Source organism: Homo sapiens, chromosome 5 (genome assembly GCF_000001405.40).
Source record: "Homo sapiens chromosome 5, GRCh38.p14 Primary Assembly".
Taxonomy (NCBI): domain Eukaryota; kingdom Metazoa; phylum Chordata; class Mammalia; order Primates; family Hominidae; genus Homo; species Homo sapiens.
In genome coordinates, this window is record NC_000005.10 from 38,862,906 (window position 1) to 38,885,016 (window position 22,111).

General features: G+C 41.6%; 1 protein-coding gene across 18 annotated transcripts in view, besides 2 other annotated features; it reads left to right on the plus strand.

The window, feature by feature from the left end:
* Positions 1-22,111, plus strand: part of OSMR (oncostatin M receptor) — a 99,568-nt gene that overhangs the window by 16,894 nt on the left and 60,563 nt on the right. For 16 of the 18 annotated variants that reach the window (XR_925661.1, XR_007058659.1, XR_007058660.1 and 13 more), the window contains exons 2-5: positions 6,127-6,212; positions 13,296-13,468; positions 18,688-18,859; positions 20,922-21,206. Coding sequence is in view for 15 of the 18 variants with exons in the window: in XM_011514161.3 (XP_011512463.1) it covers positions 6,140-6,212; positions 13,296-13,468; positions 18,688-18,859; positions 20,922-21,206 (703 nt within the window). In the remaining 3 variants the exon portion in view is untranslated. Of the gene's footprint in view, positions 1-3,943; positions 4,169-6,126; positions 6,213-13,295; positions 13,469-18,687; positions 18,860-20,921; positions 21,207-22,111 lie in introns of those variants that run through there. The other 2 variants (XM_047417870.1, XM_047417871.1) reach the window with 2 other exon arrangements.
* Positions 15,830-16,331: an enhancer, noted in NCBI's record as "H3K27ac hESC enhancer chr5:38878837-38879338 (GRCh37/hg19 assembly coordinates)". NCBI's record gives its function as "activates a minimal SCP1, AML or CMV promoter by ChIP-STARR-seq in primed H9 embryonic stem cells {active_cell/tissue: H9 hESC(primed)}" and the evidence as "EXISTENCE:reporter gene assay evidence [ECO:0000049][PMID:30033119]".
* Positions 16,332-16,831: an enhancer, noted in NCBI's record as "H3K27ac hESC enhancer chr5:38879339-38879838 (GRCh37/hg19 assembly coordinates)". NCBI's record gives its function as "activates a minimal SCP1, AML or CMV promoter by ChIP-STARR-seq in primed H9 embryonic stem cells {active_cell/tissue: H9 hESC(primed)}" and the evidence as "EXISTENCE:reporter gene assay evidence [ECO:0000049][PMID:30033119]".

Genomic DNA, 22,111 nt, shown 5'->3' on the forward strand with positions numbered 1-22,111 from the left:
AATCCCAGCACCTCGGGAGGCCGAGGCTGGCGGATCAGTCGCGGTTAGGAGCTGGAGACCAGCCCGGCCAACACAGCGAAACCCTGTCTCCACCAAAAAAGTACAAAAACCAGTCAGGCGTGGCGGCGTGCGCCTGCAATCTCAGGCACTCGGCAGGCTGAGGCAGGAGAATCAGGCAGGGAGGTTGCAGTGGGCCGAGATGGCAGCAGTACAGTCCAGCTTCGGCTCGGCATCAGAGGGAGACCATGTAAAGAGGGAGAGGGAGACCGTGGGGAGAGGGAGAGGGAGAGGGGGAGGGGGAGGGGGAGGGGGAGGGGGAGAGATGATTTTGGTTTTTAAAAATTAGTTGAGATGGCCAGGTGTGGTGGCTCATGCCTGTAATCCCAGCACTTTGGGAGGCTGAGGCGGGCAGTTCATGAGGTCAAGAGATCGAGACCATGCTGCCAACATGGTAAAATCCCATCTCTACAAAAATACAAAAATTAGCTGGGCATGGTGGCATGTGCCTGTAGTCCCAGCTGCTCAGGAGGCTGAGGCAGGAGAATCGCATGAACCAGGGAGGCAGAGGTTGCAGTGAGCTGAGATCGCGCCACTGCACTCCAGCCTGGTGACAGAGCAAGACTTTGTTTCAAAGAAAAAAAAATTAGTTGAGACTTGTTTTGTGGTCTAAAATATGGTCTATTTTGGAGACTATTCCATGTGCTGATGAGAAGAATGTATATTTTGCAGGTGTTGGATAAAATGTTCTGTAAATGTCTGTTAGGTCCATTTGGTCTAAAGTGCAGTTTAAAATCAGTGTTTCTTTGTTAATTTTCTGTCTAGATGATCTCTCCAATGCTGAGAAAGGGATACTGAAATCCCTAAATATTATTGTATTAGAGTCTATCTTTCCTTTTAGATTTAGTAATATTTGCTTTATTATATATCTGGATACTCTGGTGTTGGGTTCACATATATTTGGTATTTTTTAGATCTTCTTGCTGAATTGAGCCCTTTATTACATATAACAACTTTCTTTTTCTCTTTTTCTGGTTCTTAACATCTGTTTTATCTAAATACAGCTACTCTCACTTGCTTTTGATTTCAATTTGCATAGAATATCTTTTCCTATCCCTTCACTTTCAGTCTATATGTATCTTTATGGGTAAAGTTTGTTTGTTGTAAGCAGCATGTAGTTGGGTCATTTTTAAAAATCCTTTCAGCCTACACCATTCAAGTGGGGAATTTAATCCATTTACATTACATTCAAGGTTATTATTGATAGGTGAAGATTTATTCCTGTCATTTTGTTAACATTTTGTCATCCTGTTTTTTGGTTGTTTTTTATATTCTTTTTTCTTTTCTTTCTCTCTTATTGTTCATCATTGCAGTTTGGTGGTTTTCTGCAGTGGATATATCTGAGTCATAGCTCTTTCTCATTTGTGTGTCTGTTCTACCAATTAGTTTTATATTTTCACGTGTTTTCATGATGGTAGATATCATCCTTTCACTTCCAGATATACGATTCCCTTAAGCATTTCTTGTAGGGCTGGTGTAGAGGGGATAAATTCCTTTAGTTTTTGCTTATCTTGGAAAGACTATTTCTCTTTCATTTTTGAAGGATGGCTTTGCTGAATATAGTATTCTTGCCTGAAGTTTTTTTTTTTTTCTTTTAGTACTTAGAATATATCAGCCCCTTATCTCCTGGCCTTTAAGTTTTCTACTAAGAAATTCATTGTTAGTCTGATGGGGGTTTCCTTATATATGACTTGATGCTTTTCTCTTTCTTTTTAAAAAATTATCTCCCTGTCTTTGACTTTTGACTGTCTGCCTTTTTTGGGGTTGAATATCTTTTGGGATCTCTGAGCTTTCTGTATCTGATGTCTATATCTCGTGCAAGAATTGGGAAGTTTTCAGCTATTATTTTGTAAAATAGATTTTCAATGTCATTGCCCATGTCTTTTCCTTATAGAACACCAAAAATTTGAGTATTTGGTCACCTTGTGGTGTCCCATATGTCATGTAGGCATTCTTCCTTCATTTAAGTTCTTCTCTCTGTCTGTCTGTATCTCTGTCTTTCTCTCTCTGTCTGTCGCTTTTATGACTGAGTTATTTCAAAAGACCTGTATACAAGTTCAGAAATTCTTTCTAGTCTGCTGGTGAAGCTCTTGATTGTATTTTTTATTTCAATTATTGAATTATTCAAGTATAGGACTTCTGTTTGGTTCCTTTTAATGATATCATTCAGATATGAATTGTCCTGATTTCTTTGAATTGTTTATGTTCTATTGTATCTCTCTGAGTTTCTTTAATATCATTACTTTGAATTCTTTTTCAGAAATTTCATAGATTTCTTTTTCATTGGAATCTGTTGCTGGAGAATTATTATGTTCCTTTGGAGGTATCACGTTTCCTTGCTTTTTCATGTTTCTTGTGTCCTTACATTGCTATCTGAGCATCTGGTGAAAGAGTTGCTGTTTGTAATTTTATGGATTTGCTTTCATAGGGAAAAATTTTTTTCCTATAGCTGTATCAATAGTATTGGTTGGGTAGAGAGAGTGGTTAGGTTTTGATTCTGGCTGGACACAGTAGCATAGTCTCTGTATGATATATTTGGCTGTAATCAGCATTAGTAGTGTCTGTGAGTTCCTTGGTGGCTTAGGCTGCTGTTGTTAGTGGAAGCTGTGGTGAGATTTTGTGAAGGATGGGGACACCAGACAGGCTGGTTGTTGAGCCCCACTGGTGGTGGTGGCACCAGGCCTACTGTGTCAGTCCTTGGGCCCCCACATGCCCACCTGATGTACATAAGCACCAGTGGTAGTGGGGTTGGATGGGCCAATCCCTGGGCCTCCATGTGGCTTGCTTGGGTGCCAGCAGTGGCAGTGGTAGGCCAGGCAGGCAGACAGATCTTCTGGCCCTTGGGCAGCATGTGTGGTGCTGGTAATGGTAGTTGTGGCTGGTCAGCCCTCAGGACCCCAGGCAGCACACATGAGTGCTGGTGGTGGCTGTGATGGGCTGTGGCAGGCCAGTTCCCAGACTCCAGGTACTGTGTGCAGGTGGGTTCTGGTGGCAGTGATGATGGCAGGCTCATGCTCAGGCTTCCAGGAGGCAGGTGCAGATGCTGGTGGTGTTAGACTGGGCATGTTAATCACCAGGCTCCTGGATGATGTATGTGGGCACCAGCAGGCTGGGGGAGGCCTGTCCTCAGGACTCCAGAAAGTGTGAGTGGCTGCCAGAGGTGGTGGGCAAGACAGATCAATTCCCAGGCCCCCGCTTCATGTGTGCAGGCACTAGTGAGGGTGGTGCTATGTGTGGCAAGCCTGTCCTCAGGCCTCCCGATGTTGTGCATGAATGCTAGCTGTGGTAGGTGGGGCAAGTTGATCCCTAGGGCCCTGGACAATGCACTCAGGCAGTGCTAGTGACAGTGGTTGGTGGGGTGGACTGGTCCCCAGCCCCCCTAAAAGTACATGCAGGTGGGTGGCAGCCCTGATGCTGGAGGTGGGGGGCAGGTTAGAGTTGCTGTCAGTGACAGTGACCCCAAGTAATGGACTCTCAGGCTTTTGGGAGCACATGCTTTGGCTTCTTTTGTTCTGAGGGTAGCTTCCCCAGTGTGCTGCACCAGTTGTTCCCCCGGGTATAGACTGAGTGAGGTAGAGTGCTGGGGACACAGCCACACTGCTGGGTCCATCCAGCATTACAACACCACAGCCCTCTGAATGGATATTGGGTGATGTCCGCAGGGCTGCAGGAATGTGGAGAGCAGGGTCTGTTGGCCCCAGCACAGGATGTAGTCTTATGGAGGTGGGCTCTCAATATGGTCCTGTGCTGATGAGAGGGAGGGGGCGGGGACCCCACACACACTCCCTCTCTGGAGCAATGCCATCACACAGGCTCCAGAGAGCTCCCTATGCTAGTCTCAGGGCTGGCAAGGGTGGAGGGGCTGTCTTGTGGCTAGGATTATAGGAGTTCACAGTAGGAATATGAACCACTGGGGATCTCTCACTTAACTTTTCCTGGCACTGGGGAGTTTCTTCTTGCTCTGAGCCAATCCTGGCTGGGTCATCTGCTTTACCTCTCTCTCCTTCTCAGGGGTTCTCTGTCACTTCCCTGCTGAATTCCAGTGGTTTCTCTTCGATGCTCTATTCAACATGTGATTATCTACTTACTGTACTGGTCCTTTTAAGAGGAGGTGAGTGCCCCGTCCCTCTAGCCAGCCATCTTGAAGTCCCTCCCTCAGTGTATTCTATTTGAAGTTTTAAGTAGAGATTTTGGAGAAGTATGAATGACTTGTTTGCCAAAAATAGAAAGCAGTGGAAAGAGGTGCTTAAAGGAATATAAACAAAACCTGTTCTTTGCAGACTTTTGCTTCTGTTTGCAATTGGGCTTAGCTATAGACAGGTCTGACCACCCTAGAATAATTTGATGATGTGGTTTACCCTCCTTATCTTCACTGTTGTTCCCACTTTTCTGTAAAATATTATTTTTTAAAATAGAGGACATAGGCAGTAACAATTGATTATCTGGTTTACTGAATCGCTGGCTTTTGATAAAATCCAGGTGGCTGGACAGAGGCAAAAATCGGTTTCAAATTAATTGTTTCATTGTTGCCCTCTGCTGAGTCAGAGTTTGAAGGAGAAAAGTGAAATTCAGTGCTTCCCCTGACTAACACATTTGTTCTTAAATTAAGAACGTATTAACCTTTTTGAGGTCATCCAGCCTTATTCTTGATGTCCTCAGATTTTTCCCGTGGTCAAAGTACCTGATGAATCAGTGAAGCTCTTTGGCTCTTTACAATTCTTTTCTAAGGAAAGGAAAACCGGAAATTATTTGGAATAATGAAAAACTGTCTCTTGGGAGAATATGCTAACCTAGGTTAAATTTTAATGAGGGAGATAGGGAAGAATGGAGATGCTCTCACCTCCAAGTAATTTAAATTTAGCTCTCTTGAGACTATTGTATTTGGAGATAGGGAATAATGGAGATGCCCTCACCTCCAAATAATTAATTTAAATTTAGCTCTCTTGAGACTATTGTATTTGGAGATAGGGAATAATGGAGATGCCCTCACCTCCAAATAATTAATTTAAATTTAGCTCTCTTGAGACTATTATATTTGGAGATGGGGAAGAATGGAGATGCCCTCACCTCCAAGTAATTAATTTAAATTTAGCTCTCTTGAGACTATTGTATTTGTTCTCTTTCTAATCAGAGTTCGTGGTCCATATTTAACTCTTGTTTCTCTGCTTGACCTTTCTTTACCAATCTTTGCTTGGTCTGAATGAATTGGTTGATCAGTTATCCATTGCCACCAACCATCAGTGGCACACAGCAATAAGCATTTATTGCTCTTTCACCTGGGGTCAGCTGCTCTTGTCTGGGGTTGGCTGGCTGCTGGCTGATCTAGGCTGGTCTCAGCTAGAGCAGCTGAGGTGGCCCTCTCTGTTTCATGTGTTGCTCATTCTTCTTCTGGTTCCAGTAGGTGATACGGCTTGGCTGTGGGCCCACCCAAATCTCAACTTGAATTGTATCTCCCAGAATTCCCACGTGTTGTGGGAGGGACCCAGGGGGAGGTAATTAAATCATCAGGGCCGGTCTTTTCTGTGCTATTCTCGTGATAGTTAATAAGTCTCATGAGATCTGATGGGCTTATCAAGGTTTTCCACTTTTGCCTCTTACTCATTTTCTCTTGCTGCTGCCATGTAAGAAGTACTTTTCACCTCCTGCCATGATTCTGGGGCCTCCCCAGCCATGTGGAACTGTAAGTCCAATTAAACCTCTTTTTCTTCCCAGTCTCAGATATGTCTTTATCAGCAGTGTGAAAACTGACTAATATAGTAGGGTAGCCCATAAATGCTCTTTTCATGTCAAAGGTAGAAACACAAAAGAGTAGGTAGAAACTGGCACACCATCCTACCTGGCACACTATCACTTATGCCTCATTTATAGACCCAAAAAGGTCCCATGGGGCAGGGAAATATAGTCTTCCTATTTTGGGGGGACTCTAAAGTACCATGACAAGAGGCATGGATACAGGGAAGGGAGAAGTATGGGAGCCTTTATTGCCTCATCTACCACAATTGGCTCGAAGAAATTTGCCAGTATTGAAAATTAAATAAAATTTTCCTTCTTATAATTTATCTTTTTCAGAAAACCAGAACTGATGGCTCTATTTGCAGTCTTTCAGACAACATTCTTCTTAACATTGCTGTCCTTGAGGACTTACCAGAGTGAAGGTAAGAAGTGGAAGGAACAGTAAAGACAAAAATCACGTCGGGAACAAATGAAGTCATTGATGCTTTGGGAAAAAGTTAAACAGTTCTTTTTTCTTTGGGAATTACTTAAAATTCCTGAGTATCTCCCATGAGGAGATTTGTCAATCTCTCTAAGCAGTGGTTGCCTTAGTCTTGGCCTCTGTCATCTTGATGGCTCTCTTAATAAGCCACCCTTTGACCCTGACTTCCTGGTCAGTGCACTGGTCATTAGGGCAGTTGTAAATAGACCTAATCCCATAGAATTTCATGATGGATATATTTTATCAGACCATCATCGAAGTAGTTCTTTCTGTACCTTGCTGAGAAAAGACACTGGATATACCACACCAGTGCTGACCTCTAGGTTAGTACAAGTTTTTATGTCCCTCAACTATGTTCATTGAGAAGCTGTTAGCTTAGTAAAATATGAGTAAAAGCAATGAAAATATGAAACAATAGAAACTCTTTCAAGACTCTGAAAGACAATATGCTAAATGCTGAAATGTTTTATAAATAAATAATATTTGTCACTTAGCTACTCCCCAAGGGAAGATATTTTGAGATAAATTAACTTTATAAATAAGGTCAATAAGAATTTAATACCTCTAAAATATTTATTGATACTATATTACTTTGAACTTGTTTAGAAGTAGATCTTAGACTTGAGTTTCTATTGGTTCATAATTTTTTGTATCTTTCATCTGTATTTTACAAAGCTTTACATTTTCCTCTTCCTGTATTTATTCTTTGCTGTACTCCCCTTTTAAATGAGAGTACAGGTGTTTGCTCCTAGTAATTATCCATGCAGTTCCTGTCCACAGATTCATGAAAATGATCTTTGCGGGGAATATGCATAGAATTTCTCATCTTTCTTGAAACTCCATGAAAATATATTTGGAAAAAAAAAAGGAAACATTGTTCTGATAATTGCTCAATTCTCTGTCTGACATTCCTTTCATCTGGATTTATTTATTTTAGGTCCAGGGCACATGGGAAGACACTACTATGCTGTTTCTTTCAGCATCTTAAAAACCATAGTTTGATGTTAGTCTCTTCTAATCTGGGGCTGAAAGGTGGGAATTAGGATTTCTCATTTGTAGTATGTATACCTCTCGCTCACTCTGTCTTACTTGCTAAAATCTAAGCACAGTGCAACCAGACTGAGAGGTCAAACCATATAATAAGAATGATTTTCTTTTTTTTTTTTTTTTTTTGAGACAGAGTCCTGCTCTGTCACCCAGGCTGGAGTGCAGTGGCGCGATCTCGGCTCACTGCAACCTCTGCCTCCCAGGTTCAAGCAATTCTTCTGCCTCAGCCTCCTGAGTAGCTGGGATTACAGGCACACGCCACCACGCCCAGCTAATTTTTTTGTATTTTCAAACAGACCCACTGCCCCACCTCCAGGTGTAACCGAAATGCAGGTTCAGTTGCTTGCAGCTTGCAGAGTCCAATTAAAATGAGCAAGGTCTGGTATAAAAATAAAACCGACTTTTTATACCAAAGCTAACTTAGGGGAATAAGGACAAGCTTTCCTCCTTAAAGGGACTGCTTTGCTTTTGGAGTAGAAAGTGGGCACTTTTAAAGCAGGGGGCCTATGCAGTGGCAGAAGTGAGCAGGTAGGGGTCTGCATACTCACTTTGGTGCCTTATCTACTGGTTAGTTGAGTTGACATCTTCATGGGCAGAAATAGGCTGTAAGGTGGCTGAAAATTCTCCAGGTGGGAGAGAGTTTCACAGTGGGCATACTTTGGGTTGTAAATCAACTGTTACCTCTCAAGGCAGTCTCCTGGTGGGTGAGAGTTCCTCTCTGGAGCTTCTAAGCATATCATTATTAACAGATGAACTTGCCTTGTAGGGAGTGTCTGGTGAAGGGGAGATAAAAGGTTATAATTGCATTTCCAAAGGGCTAAGTAGGAAGTGGGGAACAGAGGGAATTGGGGAAAAGAGAAAATAATAAAACAATAGTAACTCATTCTCCTTTTCTTAGAAAAATGGGGTACTCGGTTACACAGGGTCTCCAGGAAATCCCAGGCATCTAACTCTAAGCTTTCAGCCCAGCTCATTCTCTAGTGAAGTTCCCTTTTCTGATCCAGCACTATTTACTATGTGCCTTCTACATACAAGCCACTCTATTCTCAGAGCAAGCTCTGCTGCTCATGCTTTCAGCTTCTTTTGTTTAGATCAGACATGCATTTCCCTGTTTTTCTATCAACCAATCTTCACTGCTGCTTCCAGCTTTCTCTGTCAAGCATGCCTTCTTTGGTAATTAATCCTGTCTTTGCCCTGACCTGTACTATTTGGATTTCTTGTCTCAATTTCTGCTGCATTTAACCAAGTACTTACTAAACTCCCACTCAAACTATTTGGCTTACCACTTAATCACCCAGCCAGATACAGATCTGAAGATTTATTCCAAATAACCTGGCTTAATTTCTCCAATCAACGAGGCAGAGCCAAGACTTTCTTCAGTTAACCCTGGGTACATGTTTCCATCAGCCAGAGATTATGACTGCAGCAATATTTTCCTCTGTCTGTTGTGTATATGTACATACAGATAGAGATAGGGAGATGAATACATAGTGTGTTTTTAAATAAAAGTTAAATTATAGTATATATATATGCTCAGGATTTTTTTATTACTTAAAACAATTACTACAACATATGATGAGTGTTTTTCTTTGATATTAAATGTTCTTCTAGAAACAACATTATTTTTAATTGCTGCATGATATCCCTTCTTATGAATGGACAATGGTTTATTTCCTTGAGTAGTGTTGTGGATGGTCAGAGAAACAGGGTGGGGAAAGTGGGAGGAGAGTATGTGATTAAGTCCTGGTCTGATTCCCAAACCTGGCCTTCTTGGCCATACTCCAGCATTATAAAAAGAGAGCTGGACAGAGACCCAGGAGCCCTAGGTTCTGGTCTGATTGTGCGGCTGTGGCAAAGTCACTTCCCATTTTTTAACCTCAATTTCCTCGTCTGAAAAATAATGGGATTGGATTTAATAATCTTTATGATTCTTTGATCCCACTGACTTAACCTTGGCATTTTCCACTATTTCCCAAGGAAGTCCTAGATTGCTTTTAACCAGATTATTTTTGACTGATGTCACTTGAGCACCTGAGTCATTCAGCACTCACTGATAGCGTATGTTAATATAAGGCGTTCTTCTTTTGTCTGGAGCTTCCAGAAGTAAAGTTTAGACTGATAGTTGACTCATGCATTCAGCAACCAATCGCTGAATACCATAACTGGTATGTTCTTAGTCTTGGTTTCTCTGAGCTGAGTAAGGCTGAGTCTCAACCTTGTTTCACTCACAGTCTACAGGGAGACAGACATAGAAACAGGCTCTTACAGCATGTTGCAATCAGTGCTCCAAACAAGGGCTTAGGAAATCTAAGGAGGAATTGCACATTCTGAGGTATGATTATAGTGGAGTGAATCAGATAGCTTAAGGAAGTATTTCTTTTATATTATAACTTATTATTTGATTTTCAAACTAATACATGTTTCTGAAGAACATTTACAAAATACCAAAAAGTATAAAGAAGAAAATTAAGATCACTCAACCTCATCTTCCAGAAATAATTACTGTTATAATGACTGTTAACATTTTATTTTTACTTCCCTTTATTTGTTTAAAAAAAATGTCCTTTAAAAATCATAAAATGGGGTACATGTTCCAATACATTTTTAAAAAGCGCATGGGAAAATCCAATAAAAATATATATGATTTAAATTTGGCAATAGAATGAAAAGAGTAGGATTATAGAAACTCAATTTCTGTGTTATGCCAGCATTTTTATCATGAGTAATTAGTGACATTGATTCATGATACTCATTTGGTGAGTAAATTAGCAATATTAGTACATTCACAATGTTATGCAACAATCACCCAATTCAGTTCCAAAACATTTTCATTACCCCAGAAAGGAAACCACTGCTTAAGCAGTTAGTCTTGATTCCCCTCTCTCTCAGCCCCTGGCAGCTACCAGTCTACTTTCTGTCTCTATGGTACTTATTATTCTGGCAATTTCATACAAATGGAATCACAGTATAAAACCTTTTGTATCTGGCTTCTTTCACTTAGCATGATGTTTGTGAGGTTAATCCAATTGTAGCATGTATCAGTATTCAGTTTCTTATGGCTGAGTAACAGTCCTTCGTGTGTGTATACCACAGTTTGTTCATCTGGTCATCCACTGATGAAAGTTTCAGTTGTTTCCACCTCTTGGCTATTGTGAATAACGCTGCTACAAATTTGTGGGCAATTATTTGTTTCAATTCCTGCTTTCAATTCTTTGGGATATCTACTTACAAATGGAATTGCTGGGTTATATGGTGATTCTATTTTAACTTTTTTGTTTTGAAGACAGGGTCTCACTCTGTCACTCAGGCCGGAGTTAACTTTTTGAAGAACTGTCAAAACGTTTTCAACAAGGTGGAGCCATTTTACATTCCTACCGGCAGTGTACAGGGGCTGTAATTTCTCCACATCCTCGCCAACACTTGTTATTTCCATTTTAAAAATTATTATAGCCATCTTCATGGGTGTGAAATGGTACCTCTTTGTGATTTTGACTTGAATTTCCTTAGTGACTAATGATATTGAACATCTTTTCATGTGCTTGTTAGCCATTTATATATCTTCCTTGGAGAAATGTTCATTCAAGTCTTTTGACTTATTTTATTTTATTCTATTTTATTTTATTTTATTGTGACAGGGTCTCACTCTGTTGCCCAGGTGGAGTGCAGTGGTGTGATCACGGTTCACTGCAGCCTCTGTCTCCCGGGCTCAAACCATCCTCCTATGTCAGCCTCTTGAGTAGCTGAGACTACACGTGCCATGACACCCAGCTACTTGTTGTATTTTTTTTGGTAGAGACAGGGTTTTTCCATGTTGCCGACTCTTTTGCCCATTTTTAAATTGAGTTCTTTGTCTTTTTGTTGCTGGTTTGTAAGAGTTCTTTATGTAGTATGGATACTGGAACCTTATCAGATATATGATTTGCAAATATTTTCTCACATTCTATATGTTGTCTTTTCACTTTTTTGTGATTGTTATTTGATGCACAAACTTGTTTATTTTATTGTCTATTTGTTGTTGTTGTTGTTGTTGCTCATACTCTGGATTCAGATCTAAGGACCCACTGCCAAACTCAGGGTCATGGAATTCACGCTGAGATTATAGTTATCACCCTAGCCCTTCCCAGCATCACATTTACAAAATATCACAAGGTAACTTTCAGGGAAGGTAGCCATTGTGGCTCCCTTTCCTTTTATGGGCATTCTTGTTCATCTCACTTTCATAGAATGAGTTTTCTGAGGTGTTCCTCCAAATTCTGAGGTTATGCCTCATTTGAATCTGAAGCTTTCTACTATGTGGACCAATCACAAGAAAAACATCATGTTTGTCTTGTATCCACCAGGAATGCTCCTCAGTTTATCTGGCTCCATGCAGAGCCCCATCCTGTCACCTGTGTCCTGACCATGGTAGGACTTTGTTGTTGGTGCCATGCAAAATACTTCTCAGACATTCCATTCCGTGCAAACTTTGACTGGGCCAATGCTCCTGTCTTAACAGTTGGAGGACAGTACAGGGGGACACAGGTGTTGGTATTAGAGAGATTCCTATTTAATTTCACATTGCTTTGTATATGTTATTTACCCTGATTGAGCTTGAGTTTCCTTATCTAAAAAATTGCTGTCTAACAGTTTTATAGTAGGCATTGCATGAGACAACATAAGTAAAGACCCTAGCACTGTGCATGGTAAATAACATGTGCTCAATTTCATTGTTGTTATTTTTACTTCCCTAAGAGAAAAATAGCATGTGCAGAATGGCAATTTGGGGACATTTTTTCAGTATTGGAGACTGTTTCCATTGTTTATTATCAAAATGAGATAATCTCTTACCATTTAAACGTAACGTTTGAGGGGTTCAAATGACAAGGGGAAATCCCCCTGAAACTAGAAAACTGAATGCTTAAAAGATGATATCTCTTACGCCATGAGTCATCAGATAGCAGCTGATTTTATCGATGCAGGCTTTATCTTTTCAATACCTTTGTACCACTCCCAGTTTACTTCTGATACCCTCACAGTTGAAATAGTTGAATCAGCAATACACAATTATTTTACAATCTATATGGTGTTTTCCTCCTCTTAAGTGGAAAGTCATGATTTGTTCTTCTTTAAGAATCAGCAGTGACTTAACTCACTTAGTCAGGACACATTCTCTCTCTAGTGGCAGATATATCTGCTTAAACCTCTGTGTGCAAGCCATTTGCAGTGGCGCCATTGGTGGTTTATGCAGTCAGCCTAAGAGATAGGCTGCTGCTTCCCAAGGCCACCAACTTCAGCAAATCTGTTTCATGTTTGAATTCCTATTCTTTTACAGACTGTGTCATACCACTAACTAGTCTAAAATTCCACTCTCTTGATTATTTCATATGAGTTCATCATGTCTCTCCAACTAGCTTCCTTCTTTGAGCTAGGAACCTTGTCACAATTATTTTATTTCACATCAAATACCTGGTATGTTGCTGGTCTCATCGAAAGAGTTCAGTGAATTCTTGCTAGTCTTTAAGTTAAATACATTGAGACACAAATGACCATGTCTACAGATAATACATGCTCCCACATTGTAGTCTTTTACCAAACTATAAAATATTGACTTTCAAAAAGGAAACTTTCATTTCTGATGTTCAGAAATGTAACATTTCCATCAAAAAGTCTTCTTTCTTTTTTTCAGCCTTGTTATAAATTTCCCAACCGGTTAGATTGTCCAATAAAGGATCCTTCTGTTTTGTTTACCTGTTTATCAATGTATGAGCTTGCTGTGTATTATTGAGCAAGTCATTTCATTCATCTAGATCTTAATTTCTGTGTCTGCTAAGTGATTTCTAAATTCTCTTCCAGATTTCCAAGGTGTCTGATTCTAGGATGCACATATGAGCAATATTTTCCAGAGCTAAATAATGATGATATTCAAGTTTAATTATTTCTGACTCTTCAATCATGCTCCTATTAAATATTATTTCATACTTCATTTTGATCTTTTCAGTCTTGGCTGAACGTTTACCATTGACTCCTGTATCACTTAAAGTTTCCACCAATTCTACGCGTCAGAGTTTGCACTTACAATGGACTGTCCACAACCTTCCTTATCATCAGGAATTGAAAATGGTATTTCAGATCCAGATCAGTAGGATTGAAACATCCAATGTCATCTGGGTGGTAAGTAATTTTTTTGGCTCAATATTTAAAAAATCATCTTTAAAAAAAGACACCTTGGTTTTCTTTTATAACATCTGAAAAATTCTCGTTTTGGAAATATATTAGCAGCTCAAAACAGTTTGTCTAAACAATTACATTTCTGCATTTTCTGTTAATGATCCAGGACAAAGTAACATGACAACTTTGGTTTGGTAGGTAGGATGGGATGCACTAAGAAAATAGATTTTCTCAGTTTTGCTCTGTCTTCTAAGAAGACTGTTGAGTCTGTCCTCGTGAATACTGAATTCCAGAGAGCCACGAAGATTAACCAATTCATTCCTCCTACCTCTTTCTTCTCCGTCCTCCAGAGATTTTCCTAAATAAGATGTAATAATTTGGCAACATTTTTCTTTCCAATGTAGCTTCCTGAGAGTTTCTTGGCCTATACCCAGCTGAAGTGCAGGGAAGAGTAAGTGCTAGCACTTAATGTTCCATCCAACAAGGAGCCATGTTGGAGAGTAACTTCCTGTGTCCTTTGTTGCCTTACATGTGGCTTTTTCCACAACAAATTAAATTAAGAAAATACTGACTTTCACACTCTTTTTGTCTTTGAATTCTTTGGGGTGGATTTTTCACTTAGTTCAAATGATTATTGGGTCAGTTTTGCCTGAGGTGTCCCCATCTAGTGCACTAGGACACATGAGTGGTTTATGATTTCCATTTCTCATCTGGGAACTCTAGTAATCTATATGCACATAATGTTCAGTCATTTTCACGGGATATTTAAGGACAGTGGAATGTTTTCTCATTAAAGGAACTGAAAATTTTCCTACAGGTAAGAGAAGCCTAGGACTGTGCTTGGGCCCTCTGTCAGCTCAACCAGGCTCCTGTCTTCACCCAGGTAGTGGAGGCTTTGGGTACACACATACAGCATGGTTAGTTCCTTTGGTAAGGCATACAAGTCACTAATTTTAACATCTTCAGTTACTTTCCATATTCATTATTGAAATTTGAGATCTGCGCAAGTTAAATAAAATTTTGACTCTGTCCACTTAGGATTCATACCTAGTCTATAATTCTACCTCTCAAAGGGCAGTTTCCCACAATGAGACTTATTTAGTATGATGATTTTCAACAACAGCAATACTTCTGTGTAGCTGTTTACTCCCTGCTATCAACACATCTTTCCACTATCTCACCTTATACTAGCAAGTCTGATTTTTGTATTTTTAATGGGTACACTTGTTGGTAATTTGGGCCCGGTAAAACATTGAAGCAAAGGTCATATTGAGACTAAGGATTATCTACAAAAAGAAAAATTGAGGTGGAAGTGCTGGAGGAATTGTGGAAAACTAGCACTTAGCACCGTTAGCAAAAATAACATTAACCATAGACTACATGGATCCTATTCTTTATTTTTCCAAAAGACAACTCATATCTATTATTATGTTACAAAAAATAATATTAGCCATACACCAAGTGGATTTTTTTATTTATTTTCCTAAAAAGCAGTTGTTCATATCTGTTTTCATATTTGATTCCCGTAAGAGTCCTCTTTTCAAGGGAAAGCAGCTAGTGTGGACTATTTCTGTAATCTTCTAGGGCTCAAGACCCTTCAGGGTAGAGTTTTGCCTTGTCTATCGTGTTGTCCTCACAACACCCAACCCAGCCTGACTACAACAGTGGAGAAACCACAGCACAGAGAGGTTTGTTGTGTTGCTCCAGGTGACAGAGGCAGGGTGGGATCATCCTTCACTCCTGTGCCCAGAAAGGGATGACAGTCACATGCAGCCCCCAGGCCATCGGTGGACACATGTCCTATGGAATAGATGATGCCTTGAGAAATGCTTGTCTGAATCACTCATGCCTGAAGTTGACGAGAACTATCCTCCTCCAGTTAAGGAGGAGGATGCTGCTTCTGTTTAGACCAAAATCTCCCTTATACAGGGAAGCTCCCTGTAGTGCAAGCCTGACAGGGCACTCTCATTCATGCTGGGGGCTGGGGGGAAGCTTCTGGACTCAATGTCTCGGACACCTCTGTTCCCAAACAAGTCAAAGGAAGAGCACTTGCAGCTGGACCAGAGGCACCGACCTGTCTCCTGGATGGTACTGGCCATTTGGAACCCTGAACTGCATGGTCCTGCCCTCCTGGGTCATGGTCCTCCCCTTCCCTTTGCTTTTTGATTTTGTCAATGGCATAGGAAGGCAAAGTAGAGTAAGAGCTCAAGCTTGGAAGGAGGCCAGGTGTGGGAGTCAAATGTCTCAGTAACAAATCAGTGACCTCTATTAGACTTCTGTGTAAATGTGTGTGCCAATTTCTTGTGACTTACTGATGTCTGCAAGGATCAAATTAAACCTGCCACTTCAATAAATGAAATGACCCAAAGACAATTCATCATATTTAAAGAAAAAAAATCAATGAATTGCAGTACTTAAGGAAAAGTTTTATCTCCTACATTAACAGGGCTGTAAAGACCACAAAGCAGAAGTTGAGGTTAAACAGGTTCCACACATAAATAGTGTCTGGGGGAAATACAACTCATTGCATATTAATGAAATGATTAAATCATTCAGTCCAGAGTTTTAGCCTGTGCTCCCAGATCAGGCATTGTGCGCAGTGTGGGAATGTCAGCGCTGAGCACACTGGAAAGAATGAGGAGGTGAACACACGCATAGGGTATTCTACACACGGGCTGTGTGTGCAGGTCACTGATGAGATGCTATGAGGTTCGGGTTAGGCCTCACCTTCTCCCACAATTTGGATAAAGGGCTGTTTGAGACCAAATATCCAAGAGGATAGAAGTTACTTTAGCAAGTAGAGTAGAAAAGAGTGCTCTGAGCAGGCCCAACAGGCATGAGCAGAGGCGCTGAGAGAAGGGAATTTCCAGGCCTGAAAGCCCGCTGTGGTGCTGGATCCCCAAGCACATGAGGACAGGGGCACAGGCCTAGATGCACAGGACCATGGAGTGCATGCTCAGGTTTTGTTTTTTTATCCCAAGGGCAATAAGAACAAAGGAAGTGGCAAGCTCTGATTTGAATAGCCGCACAGCGGAATGTGGTGGGGAACTGGGGCAAGGGATGTGTGGCCGCTAGGAAGCGAGCTGTAGGGTTCAGCCAAAGCGGAGATGCGGGTAAGAGAAGTGGCTGCATTTAAGGGACAGAAGGGAGGTAAAGTTCAGTCTGTGACTTGTTGGCATTAGAGCGAAGTTGCCATTATTGATGTACTTCCTTCTAGCAGGGGTCTGGGGGAAGAGAGGAAATATTTGCTCCTTTTTTTTTTTTTTTTTTTGAGATGGAGTCTCACTCTGTTGCCCAGGGTGGAGTGCAGTGGCGCAATCCCAGCTCACTGCAACCTCCGTCTTCCGGGTTCTAGCGATTCTTCTGCCTCAGCATCTTGAGTTGCTGGGATTACAGGCACGCACTACCACATCCGGCTAATTTTTGTATTTTTAGTAGAAATGGGGTTTCACCATGTTGGTCAGACCGGTCTCAAACTCCTGACCTCATGATCTGCCTGCCTTGGCCTCCCAAAGTCCTGGGATATTTGCTCTTAAATTTTAAAAATATTTAAGCAAAATGTACTTGACATTGCTCATGTTAAATAGTGAGGGTTTCATGGATCAGGACCTCACAACTTGTTAAGGAACATATTTTGTGATCTAGGAGTAAAGTAATGCAAGAAATGGAAATAAAATATAAACATTTAAAAAAACACAGTCTGCAGAGAGTGAGAAAGGAAGCCCACAATTAAATGCCCCCTGGGTGGACCAGGATGTTTTCAGCCCAGGGCTGGGTTTAATTCTGTCAGGGGCACTGTTTCAAGTTTGTGACCTGAATAGGGGGCAGACATAATTAGTAGAAGGCATCCGAGTTGCTAACGCCAAGCAGTGTGTGACATGTGACTTGTCCCATCCCCTTCACTGAGGACTTATTATTCGCCCTTAGAAACATGGATGCAGACTCGAACTCAGGTTCCCCCAGTAAGTGTCATGTGTGTGTTGTCTCCACCTTGCAGCTGTGGGGCAGGAAACAGGAGCGTTGGAGGAGGCACACTGAGGAGAAAGCATGCCTGGAGCTTTGGGGGACATGAAGAAGAGAACGTGGTTCCTGCTCCCTCGGGACCATGCTAGAGTCACAGCTGATATACCAACAGCTAGCCGCAGTATATAGGAGGGGCTCAGAAGGGGTGGAGACAAGAGGAATGCAGAGGAAAGAGCAAGAAAGCCTTCATGAAAGAGAAGGGACATAACCTAGGCTTGAAGAACAGGACAGATCCCCATACAGCAGGGAGTGGAAGACACCAAACCAAAGACATTGCCTGAGCAAAGACAGGTCTGAAAGCATAAGGCATATCCAGAAGTGTGGGGGAGGTGCTATGTTTGGAGAGACGATTCCTGCAAGGGACTGGTGGGTTGGAGCCAGATTATAGAAGGCCTTGCATGACAGGGCAAGGTGTAAACGGGCCTTTGAAGCCTGTGGAATTAGAGAATGGAAATGCCAGCATCTCAGAAAGATGAAGGCTAAAGGCTGTGTCAAAAGCCCAAATTACAGCTCAACTTAGACAAGCTTCCTAGAAAACAGTGTAAGACATTTTGTGTCACTGACAGCTTCAGGGCCTAAGAGTCTGACAGATGGAGCCCAAGAGATGGAGTGTGGCCATGTGGCCACCGTATCTGAAAGGACAAGAGACAGAAAACCAGGGGAGACTCAGAGAGCCATCTATCAACTTCCGAGAGAAAATGGAACTTCTGGTGTGCCATGAAAGACTGCTTTCTTGACTGAGATTTGACCATCCTAATCCAAACCTTGCTAAAGATGAATATTTTTTAAAAACAAACAATCTTTTTTTTTTTTTAAAGGATGACTGTGTTAATTCTCTACTTTTCAAGAACTTTCTTAGCAGATTCTCTGGGACTGGCACAGTGAGCACCTTCTGTCTCTGATCTGTTCCCCCAAGACCTGAGTAGCTTCTGTTTTCTCTCCCGCTTATTCCACATGAGTCCCCGGGAATTGGAAGACCATAGTGATTGGAAGCTGAGTTTTCAAAAGGCAGGAGGTCATAGCTGGCTCCCATGCGAGGCATCAGAACATGGGGAATTGACTAGCAGAAGTGGAATTCACTGGCACATATCGTGGACCTGCAATGGGGTCTTAGGTTTGTGCTTTGGGATAAGTCAAGTCAAGCTATTTTATAGGACAAGATGGCTATGTGTCTCCAATTGTTTTCTCTTTGCTTTTAGGGGAATTACAGCACCACTGTGAAGTGGAACCAGGTTCTGCATTGGAGCTGGGAATCTGAGCTCCCTTTGGAATGTGCCACACACTTTGTAAGAATAAAGAGTTTGGTGGACGATGCCAAGTTCCCTGAGCCAAATTTCTGGAGCAACTGGAGTTCCTGGGAGGAAGTCAGTGGTAAGAAGTGAGGTGGTTACAAGAGTGAAAAGGGTTAATATATTTTTTAATGAGGAGCAATAGTCAAATAGTGGAAATCTCCTTTGAGGAACCCTGGGTAGACACTGACATTATTTTCCTTTGGCTCCTATGGGAACTAAAAAACACAGGTGTGAAACTTGGCACTGGAAGATATAGTCTGAAGTCTTGCTCCTGAACTTACTCATTGAGATAGTTGTGCAGATTCAGGCAATTTTGTATTTGTTTTCAAAACATGTAAAGTTTGTGTATTATAAATGCTAAGTGAACAAAGCAAGACATAAATTGTACATATGTATTTATTTGAGCAACACAAAATGTGTATGCGTCTAGAGTAGAGGTTGGGAACATTTTTCTGTGAAAGGCCAGATAAGAGATAGTATAAGCTTTTCAGAGCATACAGTCGCTGTTGTGACTATTCAACTCTGCTACTGTAGTGTGAGAGCAGCCATAGATAGTGTGTAAACCAATGAGACAGCTTTGTTGATAGAAATTTATTTACAGAAACAGGGCCAGGCATGGTGGCTCACTCCTGTAATCTCAGCACTTTGGGAGGCCAAGGCGGGTGGATCACTTGAGGTCAGGAGTTCAAGACCAGCCTGGGAAACATGGTGAAATCCTGTCTCTACTAAAAATATAAAAATTAGCTGGGCATGGTGACGGGCACCTGTAGTCCCAGCTATTCTGGAGGCTGAGGCAGGAGAATCGCTTGAACCCAGGAGGCAGAGGTTGCAGTGAGCCTAGATTACACCACTGTACTCCAGCCTGGGCCACAGGGCAAGATTCTGTCTCTCACACACACACCAAAAAAACAACAGATGGTGGACTCAAATTGTAGCTCCCCCGAATCTAGACGGCGGGGTGGGGGGAAGGGGGGTGGAATATGGAAAAATGAAAGTGGTGTGTTATTTGAAAAATGAGATTATTTGCGCACGTTAAACTAATAATACTAATGAGATAATAATAATTGAATTAAATCTATGACCTAGTCACTTTTTAAAGTACTATACATATTTAGTTCTCATGTCAGTCCTATAAAAGGACTTCTTATCCTCGCTTCACAGATAAGGAAACTGAGGCACTGAGAGGTTAAAGAAGCCATGCAAGGTCACCACGCCACTAAGTGCTGGAGCTGGAACTCCAACCCAGACAGTCTGGCTCCAGAGGTCATGTGCTTAACTATTACATCCTACTATGGAAAGAAGGACACATACACAGGGAAAGAAAAGATATTAAAAAGATAGTAAGAGGTTGGGTGTGGTGGCTCACATCTGTAATTCTAGTACTTTGGGAGGCTGAGGTGGGCGGATTGCCTGAGCTCAGGAGTTTGAGACCAGCCTGCACAACATGGCGAAGCCCCAGCTCTACTAAAAATACAAAAAATCAGCTGGGTGTGGTGGCACATGCCTGTAGTCCCAGCTACTCAGGAGGCTGAGGCACAAGAATTGCTTGAAGGTTGGATTTTTTAAAAACTTTTAAAAATGAATGTTTTAAAGACCCCTCACACTTGAGGGACTCGCATTTCTGAGAAGGTAGGGAGAGATATGATCTCCAGTACAATGAAGAGATTACGAGGGATTTTGGAGATGCATAGACCTTGCCAGTCTGAATGTGGCTTTGCCACTTTCTAACTGAGCAAACTTTGGCTAAGTCTTACCTGACCTGTTGTTGTAAGGTACTAAGAACGACATGAGATAATGTACATAAACACTTAACATGGCCTTCAGCAGGGCTGGGACTTGATAGAAAGCAGTTACAATAACCCAGCAATAGCAATCATGCAATTATCAGAGTGGTAATAGTAATGTGCTGTCTGTGGCAGTAAGAGCAACAGCAGTGGTATCAGTGTAACAATAGGAGCAGTGGTGGAAAGGATTGTCTTGCATGCACCAGAGGGTAGAGGTTTGGCAGAGAAATTTAGGTTGCTATTTTCTCCAGGAGGTAGAAAAAGCTAAAGTTATCTGCTGAAGGCAAATGGATAACTTGTTTTAAGAGGCTTGAATTTTGAGTGCGATTCTAACTTGGCTATTTTTTTTTCTTGCAGTACAAGATTCTACTGGACAGGATATATTGTTCGTTTTCCCTAAAGATAAGCTGGTGGAAGAAGGCACCAATGTTACCATTTGTTACGTTTCTAGGAACATTCAAAATAATGTATCCTGTTATTTGGAAGGGAAACAGATTCATGGAGAACAACTTGATCCACATGTAACTGCATTCAACTTGAATAGTGTGCCTTTCATTAGGAATAAAGGGACAAATATCTATTGTGAGGCAAGTCAAGGAAATGTCAGTGAAGGCATGAAAGGCATCGTTCTTTTTGTCTCAAGTAAGTGTGCAAATTCTCTGTGGCCCTTTCTTCTCATTTCCTGAGGAATAGATTAAATCTCCTTTACTAGAAGACAAATAAACATTTCTACCCATGATCTTGATTTTCTTTTGTTTCCCAAGTTTTCTAGGAGAGGCTCTGAAGTCGATGTCCTTTAGTAATATTTCCAGGATTTCCTGTTGTTTTCTTGTCCTTACTGAGAGTTGTATTCCTAGAAATCAATAGTATTAAAGAAGACACAGTTCAGGTCATGACCTGGACCACTGGGAAAATACCCTTTTTTGCCCAGCCATGCTGGAATTACTTCGGGATCATGGAGGGAGGGTAGGAGCTACAGATTGGACAACCATGGAGTCAGCCAGGATTGTGGCCTAGGAGACCTGGGTTTGAATCTTCTTTCCCTGGCTGGGTGTGTCATCTCGCCAAGTTTCCTAGCCTCTCTGAGCCAGTTTCCTCCTTTGTAAAATGGGGACAGTGATGGTGATTGTGAGGATTAATGAATGTGGGTAGTGCCTAGCCCCAGTAATAGCTGCATGCAGTAGGAGATCAGCAAATGGAGGCCATTACTGTTCTTAACTGTGCAGTAAATTGGTTCCATCGGATACATTAGTGGAGTGGGAACATTTTTTTATATAGGTTTGTGTGTGCACAACTAGTGGCCTCCTGTATTTTGAGCATCTCCTTCCCTTGCACAGTAGGGAACATCTCCCTCCCTGCCTCCCTTGCCAAAGTCAGTCTCCAGTCTCCTGGATGCCTGGTTCATCTATGTCCCCTTAGCATGACCACTAAGGGCAGCAGTAACGCTGGGGATTTGGAGGTGCTTTGCCATTCCCTGAACACTCAGCTCCTGCCTGTTGAATTTAGCAGGTGTACAAATCTGACTGATTTCCTTGCATCCCCGAAGC